The sequence below is a fragment of the Homo sapiens genome, chromosome 10, assembly GCF_000001405.40.
Source record: "Homo sapiens chromosome 10, GRCh38.p14 Primary Assembly".
Lineage (NCBI taxonomy): Eukaryota > Metazoa > Chordata > Mammalia > Primates > Hominidae > Homo > Homo sapiens.
Genome location: NC_000010.11, coordinates 11,941,787 through 11,963,012, shown reverse-complemented (window position 1 = coordinate 11,963,012; position 21,226 = coordinate 11,941,787). Strand labels below are relative to the sequence as shown.

The 21,226-nt window shown below is 38.4% G+C and overlaps 1 protein-coding gene across 3 annotated transcripts in view; it reads left to right on the top strand.

The window, feature by feature from the left end:
* UPF2 (UPF2 regulator of nonsense mediated mRNA decay) overlaps window positions 1-21,226 on the top strand; it is a 123,149-nt gene that overhangs the window by 80,158 nt on the left and 21,765 nt on the right. For all 3 annotated transcript variants that reach the window (NM_080599.3, NM_015542.4, XM_047424986.1), the window contains exons 12-18: window positions 3,657-3,842; window positions 6,490-6,693; window positions 7,506-7,781; window positions 10,764-10,947; window positions 14,505-14,644; window positions 19,845-19,949; window positions 20,250-20,348. In NM_080599.3, the coding sequence (NP_542166.1) occupies window positions 3,657-3,842; window positions 6,490-6,693; window positions 7,506-7,781; window positions 10,764-10,947; window positions 14,505-14,644; window positions 19,845-19,949; window positions 20,250-20,348 (1,194 nt within the window). The remainder of the gene's footprint in view (window positions 1-3,656; window positions 3,843-6,489; window positions 6,694-7,505; window positions 7,782-10,763; window positions 10,948-14,504; window positions 14,645-19,844; window positions 19,950-20,249; window positions 20,349-21,226) is intronic.

The following is a 21,226-nucleotide window of genomic DNA, read 5'->3' as shown; positions in this document are numbered from 1 at the left end:
TAAATAGAGAATTGAAATACATTATGGGAAATTAAAAAAAAATACATTATGATTTAATGTATAAGCCTAAGGTATTTTGAGTGTAGGTAGAAGAGGCACCTAATTTACTATATCAGGAAAGGGTTCTTGAAAAAAGCAGTTTTTATTTTAGAGACCTAAGCTGAGTCTTAAAGGCAGAGAAGAGAAACCAGTTGAATAAAACAGCTGCAGGTAAAACTGGAGAGGAGGATAGGCACGCACTAGCTTATAAGGAGCCCAGAGTGCCATGCTAAGGAGCTTGAGTTTTTTTCCTGGTGGCAGTGAATAATTGTTGAAGGATTTTAATTAAGCAGGTAGGGTGGATATGATCAGATTCACGTTTTTAGAAAGATTAGTATGGAGGCGATAACTGCTGAGACCCGAGGTAGAGAGAACAGTCAGAAGGCTGTTTCAGAAACCCAGGGGGACAACAATGCAGAAATGAATCGGGGTATGGATGGTTGGGGAGAGGCTGGAGAATTCTGACTAGCTATATGAAAATTTTTAGGAGGTAGAACTGAGGAGACTTGGTGGTGAGATATAAGGGATGAGGAAGCAGGAAGTACCCTAAGATAAGACTAAAATTCTGCCTTGGGCATCTGAGCAGATGATGGTGCCAGTCACAGATATGAGGGAATAAAGGGGAGGGAACAGATGATGAGTTTGGTTTGAAGCACATCAGTGCTTATGGGATCATCTAAAATGTATTCACATTTATTTGAGAAGACATATAACCTTTTAACTGGTTTGCCTTCAAAATTAGTCTTGGCTAATGTTAAAATTAGTTTGGGGTATGTGTGAGTGTGCGTGTGTGGGGGAAAAGTTTCTAAAGCAGGCCAGCTAACAGGTTGAGACTAATTGAGATTAAAAGCTGGATTATCTGTGTACGAGTGATAAGTTAAATGATGCATTCTATTTTGTCCAAAGAACTTATAGGGTGTGGTCATTAAATCTCTAGCTCTTTTAAACATGGGAGTCTTTTCTTGCCTGTTTGGAAGACTGAATATGTAACAGGCATTCACTAATTATAGTACAGAGATGCGTCAGTATAGGGGCTTAGCTATAGTCAGTGTACTATAGAAATCCTAGGAGACAAGAGAAACAGTTATGAAACTTGGTATACCCACAGTCGAACTTATAAATAGCAAAACTTTCTCCTAGTATATGATGATTTCGCACAGATAGAAAAGCAGTCCATAGGAAAGAGTGAATATGTTTTTAAAAATTCATTCATTTATTCATGCGTTAAATACGAATTGCATGTCTGTCAGGCACTGTTTTAGGTGCTACGTATGTGACAGTGAAAAAGATACAGCCCCCGCCCTCCTTGATCTCACATACACACACAACTTGAAATCCACCACCACCCAGCACCCCAGTCCACAACACCGCTTGAAGCTTGTCAGTGATCTCCCTCTGCACACTTAAACCCAGCCTTCTCACCTTGGTGTGCAGTGCTCTCTATTACCCGGCCCCTCCCTCCTCTTCCCTCTTCTGCTGCTCCCTACTAGGAACACACTGGCCTTCTGTTCGTGCCACATATGCCTTTCTTTCTGCTTGGGCCTCTGCATGCGTGCTCTTCCCGTGGTTCTTCAGCCTTTGTTATCCTTCAGATCCTAGTTTAAATGTCACTTTCTCAGAAAAACCTTCCCTAACCCACTCCAAACTGAAGTAGGTTCTCTGTTGTTTCGGATCTCAGTACTTATTGTTCATGCTACTGTTGCAATTATTATTGAAAAGAATAGTAGTTGATTTATTTGTTGATTTTATTCTGTCTTCTGACACAAGACTGTTAAGTTTCTTGTAAGTAGGAATCATGTCTGTCCTGTTCACTGGTGAGTTTCCCGCACCTGCCATAGTGCATAACACTAATAAGTACCAAGTAATTTTTTTTTTTTTTTTTTTGAGACAGGGTCTCCCGCTGTTGCCCAGGCTGGAGTGCAGTGGTGTGATTATAGCTCACTGCAGCCTCCAACTCCTGGGCTCAAGTGATCCTTCCACGTCAGCCTCCCAAATAGCCGGGACTATGGATGCACACCACTATGCCTGGCTAATTTTTTTATTTTATAGAGACAGGGTCTCACTACGTTGCTAGGACTGCTCTCGAACTCCCGGCCTCAAGTGATCCTCTTGTCTTGGCCTCCCAAAGTGTTGGGATTACAGGCATGAGCCAGTGCACCTGGCTACTTTCCTTTCTTTCTTTCTTATTTTTTTTTTTTATTAAGAGATAAGGTCTTAAGCTTGTCTTCCAGGCTGGAGTGCAGTGGCATGATCATAGCTCACTGCGGCCTTGAACTCCTGGGTTCAGGCAGTCCTCAAGCAGTCCTTTCACCTCAGCTTCCTGAGTAGCTGGGATGACAGCGCATACTACCGTGCCTGGGTAATTTTTTACTTTATTTTTCTTTTATTCTGTTATTTTTTATTTTAGAGGTGGGGTCTCACTCCATCACCCAGGCTGGAGTGCAGTGACATGATCAAAGCTTACTGTAGCCTCGAGCTTCTGGGCTCACGTGATCCTCCTGCTTCAGCTTCCCGAGTAGCTGGGACTACAGGTACCTACCACTGTGCCCAGCTATTTATTTTATTTTATTTTACTTTATTTTATTTTAATGTAGAGATGGGGTCTCACTTTGTTGCCCAGGCTAGTCTCAAACTCCTGATCTCAAGGGACTCTCTCACCTCAGCTTCCCGAGTTGCTAGGATTATAGGCTTGAGCCCCTGCGCCCAGCAGATGTTTTTAAAATGACTTAATTATTCAGTAATCTTAATGCTTGGTATGATGCTGTTTTAAGAATTAGGAGTGCTGTTTAAAGATCTTCAACTTGTCAGTGGTTCTCCACTGGCATCTAGTGGGTAGAGGCCAGAGTGGCTGTAAAACATTCCACAAGGCACAGAATAATCCCCCACAACAAATTATCCAATTCGAAATGTCAGTAGTGCTGAGGCTGAGAAACCATGAAGTAGACGGTGAGTGACTAGATCTGTATTTGTTAGTTACCTCTTCTGAGCTGATACTGAGCAACCCTAGACACAAAGTTATGAAAGAAGTTACCTTGGTAGTAAAGTTCTCTAGTATTTTATTGGATGAAACGTAAGGCTAAGTAGGCACGGGCTAGTATGTTCTAAAAATGATAAGTAGTATAACAGTTAGTATGCTTACATGCTCTTTGATATGCCTGTTGATTGTTTTTGTCTCACCACCCCCACCTCTCTGTGTGTTTTTGTTTTGTTTTTTTTAAGAGACAGGGTCTTGCTGTTGCCCAGGCTGGAGTGCAGTGCCAGTCATGGCTTACTGCAGCCTCCACCTCCTGGGCTCAAGCTGTCCACCCACCTCAACCTCCCAAGTAGCTGGGACTACAGGTGTGCGCCACCACACCTGGCTAATTTTTGTATCTTTTGTAGAGATGGGGTTTCATCATGTTGCCCAAGCTGGTCTTGAACTCCTGGATTCAAGTGATCCTGCAATCTCAGTCTCCCAAAGTGCTGGGATTATAGGTGTGAGCCACAGTGCCCAGTCCTTTCTTTGCCTTTCTAACCCATTACTTTGAAATAGCAAATCACTGAGAATAGAAGTTTAGTTAGGAGTAAAGGAATCTTAGAAGGAACGTGTTTTGATTAATTTGGACTTTTTATTTCAGGAGCAAATGATGAGAAAGAAGCAAGCAATGCATCTTGATGCGAGATACGTCACAATGGTAGAGAATGCATATTACTACTGCAACCCACCTCCAGCTGAAAAAACCGTGAAAAAGAAACGTCCTCCTCTCCAGGAATATGTCCGGAAACTTTTGTACAAGGATCTCTCTAAGGTTACCACCGAGAAGGTAAATCTTATGAAATCATGCAGTTAATAGTTAACGTGAGATTTGTGGTAGTGCTAAGCTTATGTAGAGTCTAGGAGAAGTGGGGGTAGAGCTCAAGTTCCTTTATAATCAGCTCTGTGTAAGTCACCCTAAGAAGGAATTCTTATGATGATATATAATATTTGGGACATAGGTTTTGTTTTCCTTTTATGATAACTTTTTGTTTTAATTGAAATAGTAACTCTAGTAAATTTTGATTTTATGTATATATTTGAAATTATTACTTTCTCTCTGGTATTCCATAACAAATTTGTACTTAAATATTATTTTGCATCAGTACACAGGATCCTAACCTTTAGTAGACGTTATAAGAGGCCCATGATCCCTCTGAAATTTCGTAATTTTGAACGTCTCTGGCTATTTGTATTTTTCTGGAAACAGGGTCTGCAGCTTTCTTTAGATTCTCAACAGGGGTTAATTTCCAGTGAAGGTAAAGAATCACTGACCTATTATCTTAATAATTGTAGTTACCATGTTAGAAACTTTGCTTTTAAGTAAGATATGTTGAACAAAACATTTCTTGGTGAACTCTACACTTGACATATAATACAGGGTAGAATTTTTTTCCTTTTAGGATGGAAGGTGATAAGGAATGATGTTGCAGGTTTGAAAATTGAAACCAGCTTCCTCAGTCAGAGGCAGTAGTTGTTTCAAATAGTTTTGGAATTGGCTAAAAGTTTGAAAAGTATAGAATGGCTAAACGAGTTCTCATACCAGCTTCGTTGGAAATGTCAGAATCATGTTTAGTGTTTGAAAGATGAATTGTGGATGATAATAAAGAGTAGAGATGAAAGGCTTACTTTGCAATTGGCTAATAGTATCCATTTTATATAAGGAGAAAAATGGAAAGACTTTGATTATGGTTTAGAGCTCTGCTGATCATCTTGCTATAGTAGAGGCTTTGAAATAGTAATTGCTAACTTTTTAAAAAAATTTAATGTAATAGAGATGGGGTCTTGCTATGTTCCACAGGCTGGTCTCGAACTCCTGGGCTCAAGCAATCCTCCTCCTGCCTCAGCCTCCCAAAGTGTTGGGATTACAGGTGTGAGCCACTGCACCTGGCCACTAACATTTTTATAATGTGCCAGACACTTTCCTATGTACTTCACATATTTTTAACTTGTCTAGTCTTTACCATAAACTAGGAAGTAAGTACTTTTTTGTTATCCCCCGTTTTACACATGAGGAAATTGAGGTTGTCGTACAGCCTCAGTCTTGATACAGTGTCCTCCACCTTAAGGGATCTTTTAGCCAGTTGACTTTGGGTTTATTTATTTGTTGGAAATTAATGATTTTATTTTTTAAGTGAGATTATTAGCTGGCATAGTGGCTCATGCCTATGAGCCAACACTTTGGGAGGCCGAGGTGGGCAGATCACTTGAGGCCGGGAATTCGAGACTAGCCTGGCCAACATGGCGAAACCCTCATTTCTACCAAAAATACAAAAATTAGCTGAGTGTGTTGGCGCATGCCTGTAATCCCAGCTACTTGGGAGGCTGAGGTATGAGAATTGCTTGAACCCTGGAGGCGGAGGGTTGTAGTGAGCTGAGATCATGCCACTGCACTCCAGCCTGGATGACAGAGCGAGACTCCATCTCAAGAAAAAAAGAAAGAAAGAAAGTGAGATTATTTATGTCAAATTATGCACCAAAGAGAGCATGTTATTTTTCATAAACCTTGGGTTTTTGTTTTTGTTTTTGTTTGAGATGGAGTCTCGCTCTGTCACCCAGGCTGGAGTGCAGTGGTGGAGTCTCGGCTCACGGCAACCTCTGCCTCCCGGGTTCAAGTGATTCTCTTGCCTCAGCAACCCTAGTAGCTGGGATTGCAGTTGCCCACCACTGTGCTTGGCTAATTTTTGTATTTTCAGTAGAGATGGGGTTTTGCCATGTTGGCCAGGCTAGTCTCGAACTCCTGACCTCAGATTATCCACCCACCTTGGCCTCACAAAGTGCTGGGATTACAAGCGTGAGCCACAGCACCTGGCCCGTTTTTGTTTTTAAAGACCTACTCCATACTGGGCATGGTGGCTCATGCCTGTAATCCCAGCACTTTGGGAGGCCAAGGCACAGGGATTACTTGACGTCGGCGTTGGAGGCCAGCCTGGGCAACATAGGAAGATCTCGCCTCTACAAAAAATATAAAAATTAGCCAGGCATGCTATTGCATGCCTGTAGTCCAGTCTATTTGGGGGACTGAGGTGGGAGGATTGCTTGAGCCATGGAGGAGGAGGTTGCAGTGAGTCAAGATTGCGCTACTGCACTCCAGCCTGGGTGACAGAGTGAGACTGTGTCTGGGGGGGAAAAAGAAACCTACTCCAAACTCCTGATTGGATATTTATTTTAATGACCTGAGAACAGTCACCTAGATTGAAGACCTGAAAACTCTAGAAAATTTGAGAGCACTATGGAAGGATTTAGGAAAGATGATAATACATTTTATTGTAATTAGAAAGTCTCAGTTTTTCTATTTCTGAAGAGGCCGATAGAGGATTTCTAATGTATTTTCTATTTCAAAAGTTCTCTGCGCAATCATAGCAAAATTTCTGTATTATTTGGTCAGGCTACTGTGTACTTATCTTAATAATTTGAACAAAATTCTCTTTTTTTAGGTTTTGAGACAGATGCGAAAGCTGCCCTGGCAGGACCAAGAAGTGAAAGACTATGTTATTTGTTGTATGATAAACATCTGGAATGTGAAATATAATAGTATTCATTGTGTAGCCAACCTCTTAGCAGGACTAGTGCTCTACCAAGAGGATGTTGGGATCCACGTTGTGGATGGAGTGTTAGAAGATATTCGATTAGGAATGGAGGTAAACAAGACTTCCTTTAATGTCACACAACTGGAATTCGTGGAGAATTTATTATTTCTAGGTTACTATTGAGACTCAAGTTATAGGAATCTGTAAATTTATTAGTTAGAAAAAGCTGATAATCATTTTATAAGAATTTCCTGTAAACACTTTCCTCTTTTTTTTTTTTTTTTGAGACTGAGTCTCGCTGTGTCACCCAGGCTGGAGTGCACTGGCACGATCTCCGCTCGCTGCAACCTCTTCCTCCTGGGTTCAAGCAATTCTCCTGTTTCAACTTCCCGAGTAGCTGGGACTACTACAGGTGCATGCCACCACGCCTAGCTAATTTTTTTGTATTTTTAGTAGAGACGGGGTTTTGCCATGTCGGCCAGGCTGGTCTCAAACTCCTGACCGTAGGTGATCACCTGTCTTGGCCTCCCAAAATGCTGGGATTACAGGCGTGAGCTACTGCGCCCGGCCTAACAGTTTCCTCTTACTGTAAAACCCAGATTTATTGTTTCCTTAATTCACTGATGGCAGAGAAAATAGGTTAAGGGTAGAATTACATTTTAACTGTTTTAGAAACAATTCATGTAATGATAGCTAAATTTAATACCTAACATGTTCTTTTTATGAAAACACTTTAAAGATAGCCATTTCCTAGAGAGAGAAAAGGACACCTAGAAGTAACCAGTTTATTAGAAAAGATCTGTCATTTCTCTATTCAGTGTTCTTTCAGTAATAGATATTTTCAAGTTACAGAGACAAGTTTAACCTGTTTTCATATACACTACTCCTCTTTAATGAAAATCTGTGGTTTTGTTGCCTTTTAGGTTAATCAACCTAAATTTAATCAGAGGCGCATCAGCAGTGCCAAGTTCTTAGGAGAACTTTACAATTACCGAATGGTGGAATCAGCTGTTATTTTCAGAACTCTGTATTCTTTTACCTCATTTGGTGTTAATCCTGATGGCTCTCCAAGTTCCCTGGACCCACCTGAGCATCTTTTCAGAATTAGACTCGTATGCACTATTCTGGACACATGTGGCCAGTACTTTGACAGAGGTTCCAGTAAACGAAAACTTGATTGTTTCCTTGTATATTTTCAGGTATATAAGCTGAAATATTCAGTTTGGCATCATTTAACATATTGCATGTGTTTTAAAAGAATACTATGAGAGAAGAAACGTTATGGTATTCATATATTATATATATGTTCATAATTAGATTATATTCTTCATATAAGAATGCTTTTGGAAATTTAAAGATATATGATGGATTCTATTGTATGAACATTCTCATTGCATATAACTTTTATGATTGATAATGATTGGTCATTAATTTTGGGAGTTGTTTTCATACAGTTTATAAATTTGGTTCAGTAATTTATGGACCGTGATATTTAATACAGTAATTTATTGATTAAATTACTTGTGATTTGTAATACATTTGTTAATGTTCTCTTCTCACTCATGTATATTCTGGTTTACATCTCAAATTCTTGTTTCTTTCTTTTTTTTTTTTTTAAATAGAAATGGGGTCTTGCTATGTTGGCCAGGTTGGTCTTGCACTCCTAGCCTCAAGTAAACCTCCCGCGTCAGCCTCCCAAAGTGTTAGGATTACAGGCATGAACCATCGCGCCCAGCCCAAATTCTTGTTTCTAAAAGATATATATATGTATATATATATATATATATTTTTTTTTTTGAGAGTAAGTCTTGCTGTGTCATCCAGGCTGGAGTGCAGTGGTGCAATCTCAGCTCACTGCAGCCTCCACCTCTCAGGTTCAAGCAATTCTCCTGCCTCAGCCTCCAGAGTACCTGGGATTACAGGTGTACTCCACCACACCCGGCTAATTTTTGTATTTTTGGTAGAGAGGGGGTTTCACCATGTTGGTTAGGCTGGTCTTGAACTCCTGACCTCAGGTGATCTGCCCACCTCGGCCTCCCAACGTTCTGGGATTAACAGGCGTGAGTCACTGTGCCCAGCCTAATTTTTTTTTAAAAAAAGAAAACCTATCATTTTTGAGGAAAATGTGTTATTTTTAATACAGTAAGAATATTTGTTCATTTATTTGTAAATTCTTGGGTTGTGTTTTCCATATCTTAATGTTGGGTTATTATATAAACTTGTGATTTAGACCAAGCACAATATAAATTAAATTCATATACAAATACAGGGACAGTACTACAACCTCTATAAAGTTTGTATTTCAGAGGTTAACTTATAGGTTGATTAGTTGGAGCCCAATTACTATTTCCCATAAAATACAATTTTCTAAGTGCCAATTAGGGTGAACAACTCACTATCAAGTGCTTTAAGTTTTACTAAGTGGTGATAGTACCATTCGATTCTATATAATCACAATTGTTAGTATTTTCATTTACCCATTATGAAGAAAATAAGTTTAATGTAACTTGAAGTATCAAAAATACATCCACATGGTGGCGTGTGTTAAGTTGGGGGTAAATATTCTTCGGGAATTGCGGTCTGTTAGCTTGCTCCTACCGCTATTCTTTTGCAGTAGAGGGAAACCTATTACTCCCTTACTTTCTGAATTGATGAGCAAAAAGTGGGGAAAAGGACTTGCAGATTTGAGGGTTGCAGTCCCTGTTGTATGTAAGGACCATCTTAAGTTGGATACTGTATTAAAAGCCAGAGTTTTGCTGCAAAATGGCAGCTATAACAGCATCCAAAGTAGAATCTCTCTCAGAAGAGAATCCTTTCGATTCACTCTGACATCTTAGGCTGAGAGAAAAGAAACACTCAGAAATATTCAGGAGCCAAAAGAGACAAAAATATTTTCCAAACTGATTAACAGACAAAAATGTGTAACAGAGCCATACCTAGGAATTGGAGTCAGAAGTGAGTGAGGCCTGGGTGATGAGGTCTGTGTGTTTCACCCAGAACATGGAGTGTACAGTTTAGTATTAGAAGGTCAGGAAGAAAGGATCCCCTGGAGCAGTGCTTTTAAACTTTCCTGTGCATCCATGTCCCCTGGGGACTTTGTAAAGATGCAGATTCTGATTCAGTTGACCTAGGGGGAGGCCTGAGATTCTACATTTCTAAGAAGCTCCCAGATGAGGTCCACACTTGGAGTAGCAAGGACCTGGAACAAACTGGAGAGGAAGAGTAAAACTCCCAGAGGAATACCTGTTCATATACTAGTAAATTCTTGGGTTGTGCTTTCAGTTAATGTAAATTTAGGAATTAAAACAAGTATAAAATAGAATGTGGGAACCAGGCTTGGAGTAGAGAGGGAAAATATCCACACCATGCCATATACACAGTAGATATTCAATAAATGCTTGTTGATGATTAGTGATTTTTATATATTTCAAAAACCGTATTTTCAGATACTTTAACTCTTCAAAAATCAAAGCAAGTAGCACAGAGAAAATAATGAACATTATCACAACGATGGCTTTGAATTTGGTTAAATTTGTAAAATTAAATATAGGAAATCAGTGCCTTGTTTTGGAGTACCTAAAAATTTATTTGGTATTTTATTTATAATATTTCCTTGCCTTAAAAAAACTGTGACAGTTATAATAAAAAGATATCTAGGGCCGGGCGCAGTGGCTCACACCTGTAATCCCAGCACTTTGGGAGGCCAAGGCGGGCGGATCACGAGGTCAGGAGATTGAGAACATCCTGGCTAACACAGTGAAACCCCGTCTCCACTAAAAATATTAAAAAGTAGCCGGGCGTGGTGGCATGCACCTGTAGTCCCAGCTGCTCGGGAGGCTGAGGCAGGAGAATGGCGTGAACCTGGGAGGCGGAGCTTGCAGTGAGCTGAGATGGCGCCACTGCACTCCAGACTGGGTGACAGAGCGAGACTCCATCTCAAAAAAAAAAAAAAAAAAAAAAAGATATTTAGTAAATTCACCAAATAGCTCAAGACCTGTATAGACAGAGGGAAATGATTGGAATAGGATCATTGCTGTTGACCATTAATAGAAATGGTAAGTGTCTTTTATAACCTTTCAGCTTAGTAGTTATAACTGGGAAACAGCACAATATAGTTTATTATTTTAAAATATTTTGTTACTAATTTCTTATAGCTAAATTTATTTTTCATTTGTTATCAGCGTTATGTTTGGTGGAAGAAAAGTTTGGAGGTTTGGACAAAAGACCATCCATTTCCTATTGATATAGATTACATGATCAGTGATACACTAGAACTGCTAAGACCAAAGATCAAACTCTGTAATTCTCTGGAAGAATCCATCAGGCAGGTACAAGACTTGGAACGAGAATTCTTAATAAAACTAGGTAAGCAATTGATTGCAGACAGAAAATGAAGGTGATATTTGGCAGATTATTTCTGGAATTTGCTTTATAATGTTACCAGTCAGAGCTTACATTGTATCTTTTCTATTTTCGGTGTTGAGTGTTACGTAGTAGTGTTAGGTAATGCCTGTGTGGTGTGCTTGATTTCACTAAGTAATTTCAAACCGGAGGACAACAGTTAAGCAGGACTTGCAGGACAGGACTTGAAGCAGGTGACAGTGATGGGGGAAAAAAAACCCACAATCCTGTCTACCTCTCTTACTTTTAGAATTTTTGGTTGCTAATATAAAATCTATTTTTTATTAAAGCATTTCTTATTTTTGCGTATATATTTTCAACAGGCATTATTTCCTAGAAAGTGCAAGCAAAGAAACTGTAGAAGGGAGTACCTGTCAGAAGTTTGGAACTCTACCCTACAGGATTTCAGAGCTTACCCACTGGCAGAGTTGCTTCTGTCTCTAAGGACTAGAGAAAATCTAGAGATAATTAGAAGGTTCTCTATATACTTTAGTATCCTGAGGTTGTTTTGGGGAGAAGAGTTAACTCTTGAACAGCTTCCACTAGAGCTGCAGGAACCTATATGTCTTTAGAAATAACCAGTACAAAGTATAGCCATACCAATCTGGTTTATATGCTGATAGTTCTTAGCATGTTTTATTGTAGTCATTTTAAAGTGACACGTTTTGGCCAGGTGTGGTGGTTCACACTTGTAATCCCAGCACTTTGGGAGGCCGAGGCAGGCAGATCACCTGAGGTCAGGAGTTTGAGACCAGCCTGGCCAACATGGCAAAACCCCATCTCTACTAAAAATACAAAAATTATCCAGGAATGTTGGCGCACACCTGTAATCCCAGCTACTCAGGAGGCTGAGGCAGGAGAATCGCTTGAACCCGGGAGACGGAGGTTGGAGTGAGCCAAGATCACGCCATTGCACTACAGCCTGGGTAACAAGAGCGAAACTCCATCTCAAAAAAATAAAGTAAATAAATAAAAAGTGACCCGTTTTCAGACTATTAAGCTAGTGTTTGATTTCCCACTAGAACTTGGTACATTCATGTCTGTCATTAAGGGATCTTTACTTTCGCCAGTTATGCAAATTATATAAATTTACGACATCGCATATCTGAAGAACCACTTTTCATGGTAAAGGTTTTACAAGTGCTGCTACTGATTGTGCAAGTATTAACTTTTCCTACAACTTAACCCGTAAAGGCATATATGATTCTTTTTGTTCTTTGAACCTTTTTCCAAGTTACCTACTTTCTTTTCCTTTTGAAATTTCTAATTGAATACATGATCTCATATTGAGCAGAGTATTTATGAACTTATTTCACTTGCTTTGGATCCTTGGAAAATTGTTAAGTCTTAGCCTTGTTTCCCAAAAACCTGCATGAATGGTATTCTCTGTATAGTGGACATGAGTAAATATTAGTGTGACACCTAGTTTAGTGACAGAAAAGAGAACAGTTGTGCTTTGTCCTTTGTAGATCAAAAGGCTAAATTAAAGGACTGCAGGCTTCTTGTGAGGACTTTGTCCTTGTTTAGAATATGGAGGTAAAAATAGATCGCTGTTTGTGAATGAAACTCTAAAGATGGTAGCGGCCGCAATCAGTGCACTCCCAAGTCTCCATTTGCTTCCTGGTTGAGGAAGAAGACGTATGCAGAAAAATCAATATTAAATCCGTTTCCTACTGATAAACCAAAAGATAATACAGTATTGTGCCTTTGGTAGTTTTTTGTTTTCAGACACCTGAAAATTCATTGTCTCATGTTAGTTTTATAGTATCCCAATGTTAACATAATAGTTAATTGGAAAACACTAAAACCATTTTTATCATATTTTAAAAATAACTTTTAATAGTATTAAAAGTAATGTGTTCATGACAGTAATTTTTAAAAAACCAAGAAAGCAATACCAATATTCCATACAGAAAGATAATCGTGTTAATATTTTAATACATATTTTTCTACTCTTTTTAAATTTTTTTTGTGTTTGTGATTTTCTAACCAATTGGTTCTACTTAATACATTATGAAATTTTTTCTTGACATTACACATATTCTCTTAAAGCTTTATTTTTTGTTTTGTAATTGGCTGTATTCATTTGTATCTATGTGCCATAATTTACTTAATACAGCTGTTTCACTCTTAGGTTGATTCTAGTTTTATACCACTGTAAATAATATTTTTAGTGTACCTGTGATTTTCTCAGGATAGATAGGATTACTGGCTCAGATTTTTATTTTAATTTAAGAACAAAACTAAAATGGTAATTGGCAATGTTATTTAATTCTGGTTTGGAAGTGTTCAAAGCAGTATTCATGAAATGAGAGGGTTAAATCACATCATCGCTAAAGTTTCTTCCTGCTTGAATCCTCTAAGATTCTATGCATGAACAGGTATTTATTTAACACCTACTGTGTATTTATTAATATATGGGCTGTCTTAAGTTTTGAACATTTAAGACAAGTTCTTTGTCCTCAGGGGTCTTATAATCTGATGTAATATTTATGAGATCGTTAGGAAAAAATAACAACATGCTATATCATCAAATGTAAGATGCTGTAAGTTCTCCACATGCTTTAGGAGCAAATAGGAGAAAAAGTAATAGATTGAAGTACTCATTGACAGTTCATGCAGGAAGTAAAACTGAAACTGAACATGAAGAGTGGATGGGATTTGAAAGTGCATATTGAAGGGTATTCTCTATTGAGAAGGATATTGGGCAAGCAAGATTTCAAAGCAGTGTGTTCTGTGACAGGAGACGTCTAAGGCAACTTCAGGGGAGGGCTTAGGAGAGAGGAGTGGGTAGCAGATCAGTGGGATCAGATGAGACCACATTGTGTGCATATCAAAAGTAGAGAGGGTGGATTGGAATTCCAACAGGAAGAAGAATTGACTGGGCAGTGAAATGTGGGATGGACACAGGAGGTGAAAGCAAATTCAGGCCAGGGAGTTCCATTAGGCTTAGGAGGAGAATGCTGTTATTGAAGAAAAAAAATTAGTCTGTATGGTGACAAAGCTGCTATGGCGTTTTGCCCCATTCCCCCGTCTTAATTTGCATACATTCAAATTGATAGCCACATATGATTTCTCCATTAAAGTGGCACGATTTTTTTCATGTCTTTTGAGTTTTTGGAGACTCTTTAAATCTCACTTGGTAAAGAGTGTGGCCAACGCTGTATCTTACATATGGCTGAGACTGTACCTCATCTGTTACTGTTTTCTACCTTTGTCCAAGACTGAGATATACAAGATTATCCAAGTATTTAAAGCTGTAAGAAAAGAGGGAAAAGTATACACACACATACACTTATTTTTTCTCGCTTTTTGTTAGTTGTGTTTATTTGTTGAAATGTAGGCCTACACATTTAGTTTTTTAAATGTTTCTCACCGTAGTTTTTAATTCTTTTACCTTTGTTCTGAGAAAATGGCTGTTGAATTCTTAATGCATACTTTTACATGAATTGGTATAGTGTAGAAAACTAGCCTGTGTCTATTTTTAATGTATTTTTCCATTTCCACCTTCTCATTTCAAGGCCTAGTAAATGACAAAGACTCAAAAGATTCTATGACAGAAGGAGAAAATCTTGAAGAGGATGAAGAAGAAGAAGAAGGTGGGGCTGAAACAGAAGAACAATCTGGAAATGAAAGTGAAGTAAATGAGCCAGAAGAAGAGGTGATGACTTTTATATGTAGCAACATAGAGTACATTTGTATAAGAGTATTTTGATTATATGAGCCAAAATTTTTTTAATACATAAGACCTCCTCCTGGTTTTTTTTTTTTTTTTTTTTTTTGAGACAGAGTCTTGCTCTGTCGCCCAAGTTGGAGTGCTGTGGCACAATCTCGGCTCACTGCAACCTCTGCCTCCTGGGTTCAAGTGATTCTCCTGCCTCAGCCTCCCGAGTAGCTGAGATAACAAGCACTCGCCACCACGCCCAGCTAATTTTTGTATTTTTAGTAGAGATGGGGTTTCACCATGTTGGCCAGGCTGGTCTTGAACCCCTGACTTCAGGTGATCTGCCCCTCTCAGCCTCCCAAAGTGCTGGAATTGCAGGCATGAGCCACCGCACCTGGCCTCCTCCTTAGTTTTATTATAGTAAATGTAACTAGTAGTATGTTTTTATCATAAAACCCCTTGTTTAATTAAAAGTTTTTAAAGAAAGTAATAAAATACTGATTATAGCATTTTTATTTAATAAGCAATTTAAAGAAAAAATTGATCTCCACATGTCTTTTTTTTTTTTTTTTTTTTTTTGAGACAAGGTTTCTCTCTGTTGCCAAGGCTGGAGTGGAGTGGTGTGATCATAGTTCACTGCAGCCTCAACCTCTTGGGCTCAAGCAATCCTCCCACCTCAGCCTCCTCAGTAGCTGAGACCGTGTGGACGTGCTACCATGCCCAGCTAATTATTTTGGGGTTTTTTTGTAGAGATGGGGATCTTGCTATATTGCCCAGGCTGGTCTCAAACTCCTGGGTTCAAGCAGTCCTCCTCCCTCAGCCTTTCAAAGAGCTGGGATTATGGGTGTGAGCCATTGCACCCCACTTCTTGTGTATCTTAATCTCGCTGTTGAATATGGACTTTTTAGTCAGTGGATTTTATACTCTTCAAAACAAAATTACTGGCTAGATATTAATGAGCTTTGCTTTATTTTTCCCAGATCTCATGGTTATATGAAATCTGAAATTCAACATATACGATAGTAATTGATACACCCTTTTTGTATCTATGACTATTAAGTTAAACCATATGAAATTGTTCTTGTACTGTTTCTGACTTAGCAAAATGTCATTTCTGTGTGATTAAAACTAGCAGTTTTAATTCTTTGGGTTTTGTTGATGTTGTTTGAGACAGCCTTCACTGTCGCCCATGCTGGAGTGCAGTGGCATGATCTCGGCTCACCGTAGTCTCCACCTCCGTAGTTCAAGTGATTCTTGTGCCTCAGCTTCCCAAGTAGCTAGGATTTTAGGTGTGTGCCACCATGCCCAGCTAATTTTTGTATTTTTAGTAGAGATGGGGTTTCACCATGTTGGCCAACCTAATCTCGAACTCCTGGCCTCAAGTGATCCCCCCACCTTGGCCTTCCAAAATGCTGGGAGTACAGGCGTGAGCCGCATTTGGCCCATGATTCTTCAGTTTTTTCTTCCAAACTCACTTACGTTTAAATGTTCCATGAAGCTGTGCACATCTATAGTACCAGCTACTCGGGAGGCTGAGGTGGGAGGATTGCTTGAGCCCAGGAATTCATGTCCAGCCTGGACAACATAGTGAGACCCTGTTTCTTTAAATTGAAAAAAAAAGTCGATCAAAATAAAAGGATGTCTGAGATTTGCTTTATAATCTCGAGGTAGATTGGGGAATGGGTTAGGGGTATAGAAGAAACAAAACGAGAGTTTAAAAAGTTAGAGTGAGTAAAGATACGAATAGAATACTGATGAAATTAAAATTTAAGTCATGAAATTAGCAGTTTTTCACTGGAAGTATGATTTTAATTAAATATTGAAAGAAGTTTAAATTTGCAGTCAATACTTAAGTGTTTTGGGGAAATTTAATTTCACTTTTAAAGTTTTTATTTGAGTAAATGGGATGTAAATATTTTGAGAATGTTGGTTTAATATTTAAAGGAATGTTAATTGTTTATGACATTCATAAGATAGATTTGCAAACTGGATTTTTAAAAAGCTTTATTTAGAATTAAAGAGAAAGGACTCATAATTTAAGGTGATTAAAGTTTTCTACGGTCAGATGTAAAAATCCATAAGGCTGTGTTTCCTTTAGCCCTAAAGCTTTGTAACTTATTGGAAATTTGGAATGGTTTAACTGCATAACAAATTGCTTTGCTATTAGTTAAAAAGGATTGGTTGTGAAAAGACAGTATAGGCAATAATGTATGGTTTTCCTAATTGGCTAGTATTTATAGGCAGTGGAAATGCACCATTAAGTATTTATGTTATTTGCTACCACTTTTTCTTGACAACCTTAGAACTTCCTTAGATATAAATAAGTTAGTAAAAATTTAGAACTGGAATATGTTTCTTTAATTGGCTTCAGTATACTAGATGAACATTATATTGCTTTGTTTTCAAAATGAGGTTGTAATAGAAACATTCAGTAATAGAATTCAAGTTGACTCATTAAGTATTTTATAACAACAAAGGGAAATGAGAAACTATTTCCATTTCATATTTTCAGACTAATCTTATGGTTGTCTTGGATTTGGCTACTGTACTAATTACATGAGCAGTATCTAATAAATCCAGCATTGTTGGTAAATATGATATTGAGGAGGGCTCATTTTCTTATTAATTTCTCATTTGAAGAGTTCTGATATGTTTCCTCCTCTAAGTGCATTTTCTCCTTTTTAAACATGAACTTTATAATTTTGATAGTTATATCATTTGTAACTATTACTTACTTTTCCAGTTGGAGAATGCATGTTGCACAGGATACATGTGTGTTTGCTACATAAAAATGCAAGCAAAATGTGCAGAGGGAGGTTCCAAGTGCTTGTGTGTGGGAGAAGTGAACTGGGACTCTGGTTCACTTTGTGAGAAATTAGGTTGGAATAGTTCACTTCTCCTTTCACCCCAAGACCAGTTTCCTATGACCGCCCTCCAAACATAAGGAGGAGAAATTTATTAAAGAAAGATGCATTGATTATGAAGTAATAAGAGCAATGGATATTCTACAGTTATTTACTTTGAGACAGAAGGGTTAGAATTCAGCTCTTAAAAACAAATGCTGTGTTCTATTTTTATCTTGGTCTTCAGCTGTTTAAAGTTCTATTTGACATTTTGAAGAGTGGGGGTGACTTTGAGCACCTAACAACCTGAACATTTTCTCTTAAATGTCAGCTCTATAAGTTAAAGATAACTGTTTAAATTAAATGTTCTTCCGTGATAACTCCAATATTCTCTAGCATTATGTAATTTATCAACAGAAAGTGCAAGATTCATTCTTATAATAGCAGTAATAGTTATTTACTGAGCATTTATTGTTCATGGTTACTGCCCTAAGGGCTGTATTTGTATTACCATTTCTCATACTACCCTTGCAGTAGGTGGGAAACAAAGGCACAGATAGGTTGAATAATTTGCCCAAGATCATAGAGCAGGTGATGGCAGAGCCGGTATTTGAACTCAGGCAGTTTGCCTTTTGCGACACTGTTCCTCTTGCTTTCCCTAGCCTGCTTAGGTTTTGTGGTCCATTGATGAGCACTTCTTAATTCCACCCATTATTATATCAGTGTACACTGGGATAGGACAAATGAAATTCTTGTTCAAAATCTTAATTTGAAAAATTAATGCATGCTACATTCCCTGAGTAATATGAAACGTAAAGGATGGAGAGAGGGGAAAAGTTAATGTATTTTAGCTTAGTTTATGAATGGGAAGTGTCTTTTAAGTGTTGAGAAAGGATTCATTTTTTCAAGAGCAAATTTAAGAGTACCTCTATTGCAAATTTAATTTTGAATTATAAAATTAATTCAGAAAACATTAATGCATTTGGGGGGAAAAGGTAATGTATTGGTGTACATTTTTCTTTTTGGTGGGGGATGGAGTCTCGCTCTGTCACCCAGGCCGGAGTGCAGTGGTACAACCTTGGCTCACTGCAACCTCTGCCTCCCAGATTCCAGTGATTCTCCTGCCTCAGACTCCTGAGTAGCTGGGATTACAGGTGCCTGCCACCACGTCTGGCCAATTTTTGTATTTTTAGTAGAGACGGGGTTTCGCCATGTTGGCCAGGCTGGTCTTGAACTCCTGACAAGTGATCCCCTGACCTCAGCCTTCCAAAGTGTTGGGATTACAGGTGTGAGCCATGGCGCCGACCATTGGTATACGTTTTTGAAACGTTTTCATTTTAAGAACTCAGAATCTTCAGCTGTGTATACACTGTTGGGGTTTTGGAATTAATTGCTACATACACTAAAGATAATGTAACACATTTAAGTATTTGTTTCAGGAATTATTTCTCAGCCATCATGGCACAGTGAGAGGCAGCTCTGGGTTTAGTGGGTTTTTGGTTTTTTTTTTTTGTTTGTTTTTTGTTTTTTTTACTCTTAAGGAACCATGCGGGGGTGACTTGGGATACTGGGGTGGAGGGGTAAATGAAGCTCCACTCTGTGCTTTGTGCCCTTTGAAAATCTCTCGGTGCTCTGCCCCATCTTCTGTTTGACAAGAAATTTCAGCTGATCGAAGTGGAGGGAGGCAGGGACTGACTGTGAGGATGGGGTGAAGTAGTCCTTGAAAACCACCAGTTAGGGGAGCTGAAAGGCCAGGTCTTCTGCTTAACAGCAGTGTGCCCTTGGGCAGATCACTTAACTTTTCTGAGCCTCAGTTTTTTCATGTGTAAAATAGGAACAATAAAGCTTGTCCTTCCATCCTCAGACTTGGGTAGAGCAAACAAAATGAAGTGTATGAGAACACCTTCCAAATCGAAGTGCTTTGTAAAAGGTAATGCTGTATCACTGCTTTCAGCTGGTAATGCTGTTACATTTGAACTTTTGTTGGTTTCCATTGCAGTTAGATGGGTATTAAAGAACTACTGTGAGACATTCAGCCTCTCCAGATTTGTTTCAGGAGGAGGAGAACACAAAAGGCTCAGGAAACTTCTTCATTGTGGAATTCAAGAAAGAGCTTCTACAATAGATCTCTGTATTGTTAGATCAGTTGAAGGTAGTGAGATGGGTTTTCAACTACTGATTTGTCTTAAACGTTGCTAGCTGACTTTGCCCTCCCATTGGAAACCAACTACCTAAAGAGCTAAAACTTGAGAATAATAAACAATTATACAGAAGTTTTGAAATCTTTTTAAGGCATGTAAAATATGGTTACACTTCGAAAAGTTATTTAATCTTCTAATGTTCAATAATTTCAGGAGGGTTCTGATAATGATGATGATGAGGGAGAAGAAGAGGAGGAAGAGAATACAGATTACCTTACAGATTCCAATAAGGAAAATGAAACCGATGAAGAGAATACTGTACGTATGGCTGAAAAATTTACTTTTTGAAATTGTGCAGCATTTTTATAGTATTTGAATTTTAGTCACGAAACTGAATTTGTTTCTTTTGATTATGAAAAATATTTCTTTAGAAATTCATTTTCAATTTGTTTTCCTAACCATTTTCTTTAAATTCTTTTAACATTGAATAATGTTAGATATTTTACTCACTTTACTCCTTGAGTTATGTTAAACAAGTTGTCAATACTAAAAGGCTTTGCCCTAGAAAACATTACAGTTAAAATTTCTGGTCTGATTTTGTTGTTTTGTTTTAATAAGGAGGTAATGATTAAAGGCGGTGGACTTAAGCATGTACCTTGTGTAGAAGATGAGGACTTCATTCAAGCTCTGGATAAAATGATGCTAGAAAATCTACAGGTATTAAATGTCATTTGTTTCAAAGACTCTTCTCAATACAAAACATTGCAGCCCATTACATTCTGGTTCATGTGAAGGCCTCTCCTATCTAAGTGTCTCTTCTGCAGCAGCTTTTGCTAGATCATGTGTAGACAGCTTGCAGCCAGCTTCTTGTCCTTCTTGTATCCCACATCCTGATTTGCATGAGGTAGAGTCGGTGAAAATGCAACACACACAAGATTTGGAACAGAATAATTTCATTGTGCCAATCTTTGCCTTTTATTTCTTAAGTCATATTTCTTTTTTTTTTCTTGAGACAGAGTCTCACTCTGTTGCCCAGGCTGGAGTGCAGTGGCACGATCTCAGCTCACTGCAACCTCTGCCTCCTGGGTTCAAGCAGTTCTTGTGCCTCAGCCTCCCTAGTAGCTGGGATTACAGGCATGTGCCACCACCCCGGGCTAATTTTTGTATTTTAGTAGAGACAGCGTTTTACCGTGTTGGCCAGGTTGGTCTCGACCTCCTGACCTCAGGTGATCCTCCTGCTACGGCCTCCCAAAGTGCTGGGATTACAGCGTGAGCCACCATGCCTGGCCTATTAAGTCATATTTCTAAGACTTCTTTCTTGCAGTTTGTTTGGAAGCCAAACTGTGCAGAAGATAGACATTTGGGGTCATTTAATTCAGTAAATTCTTCCATTTATTAGTTGAATAGCTTCTATGTTAATGGAAAAATGTTTGTTATTTAATGTTTAAAGAAATGCTAGTTGTTTAATGTATTCATAACATTAATAAACTGAATTTTCTAAAAAACACTACTTAGCAGTTTTTTGAATGCCACAGTAATTTCAAGTAACTATATTTTTCTAGAGTTAGAGACAAAATCTTAGACTGCTTACTTCA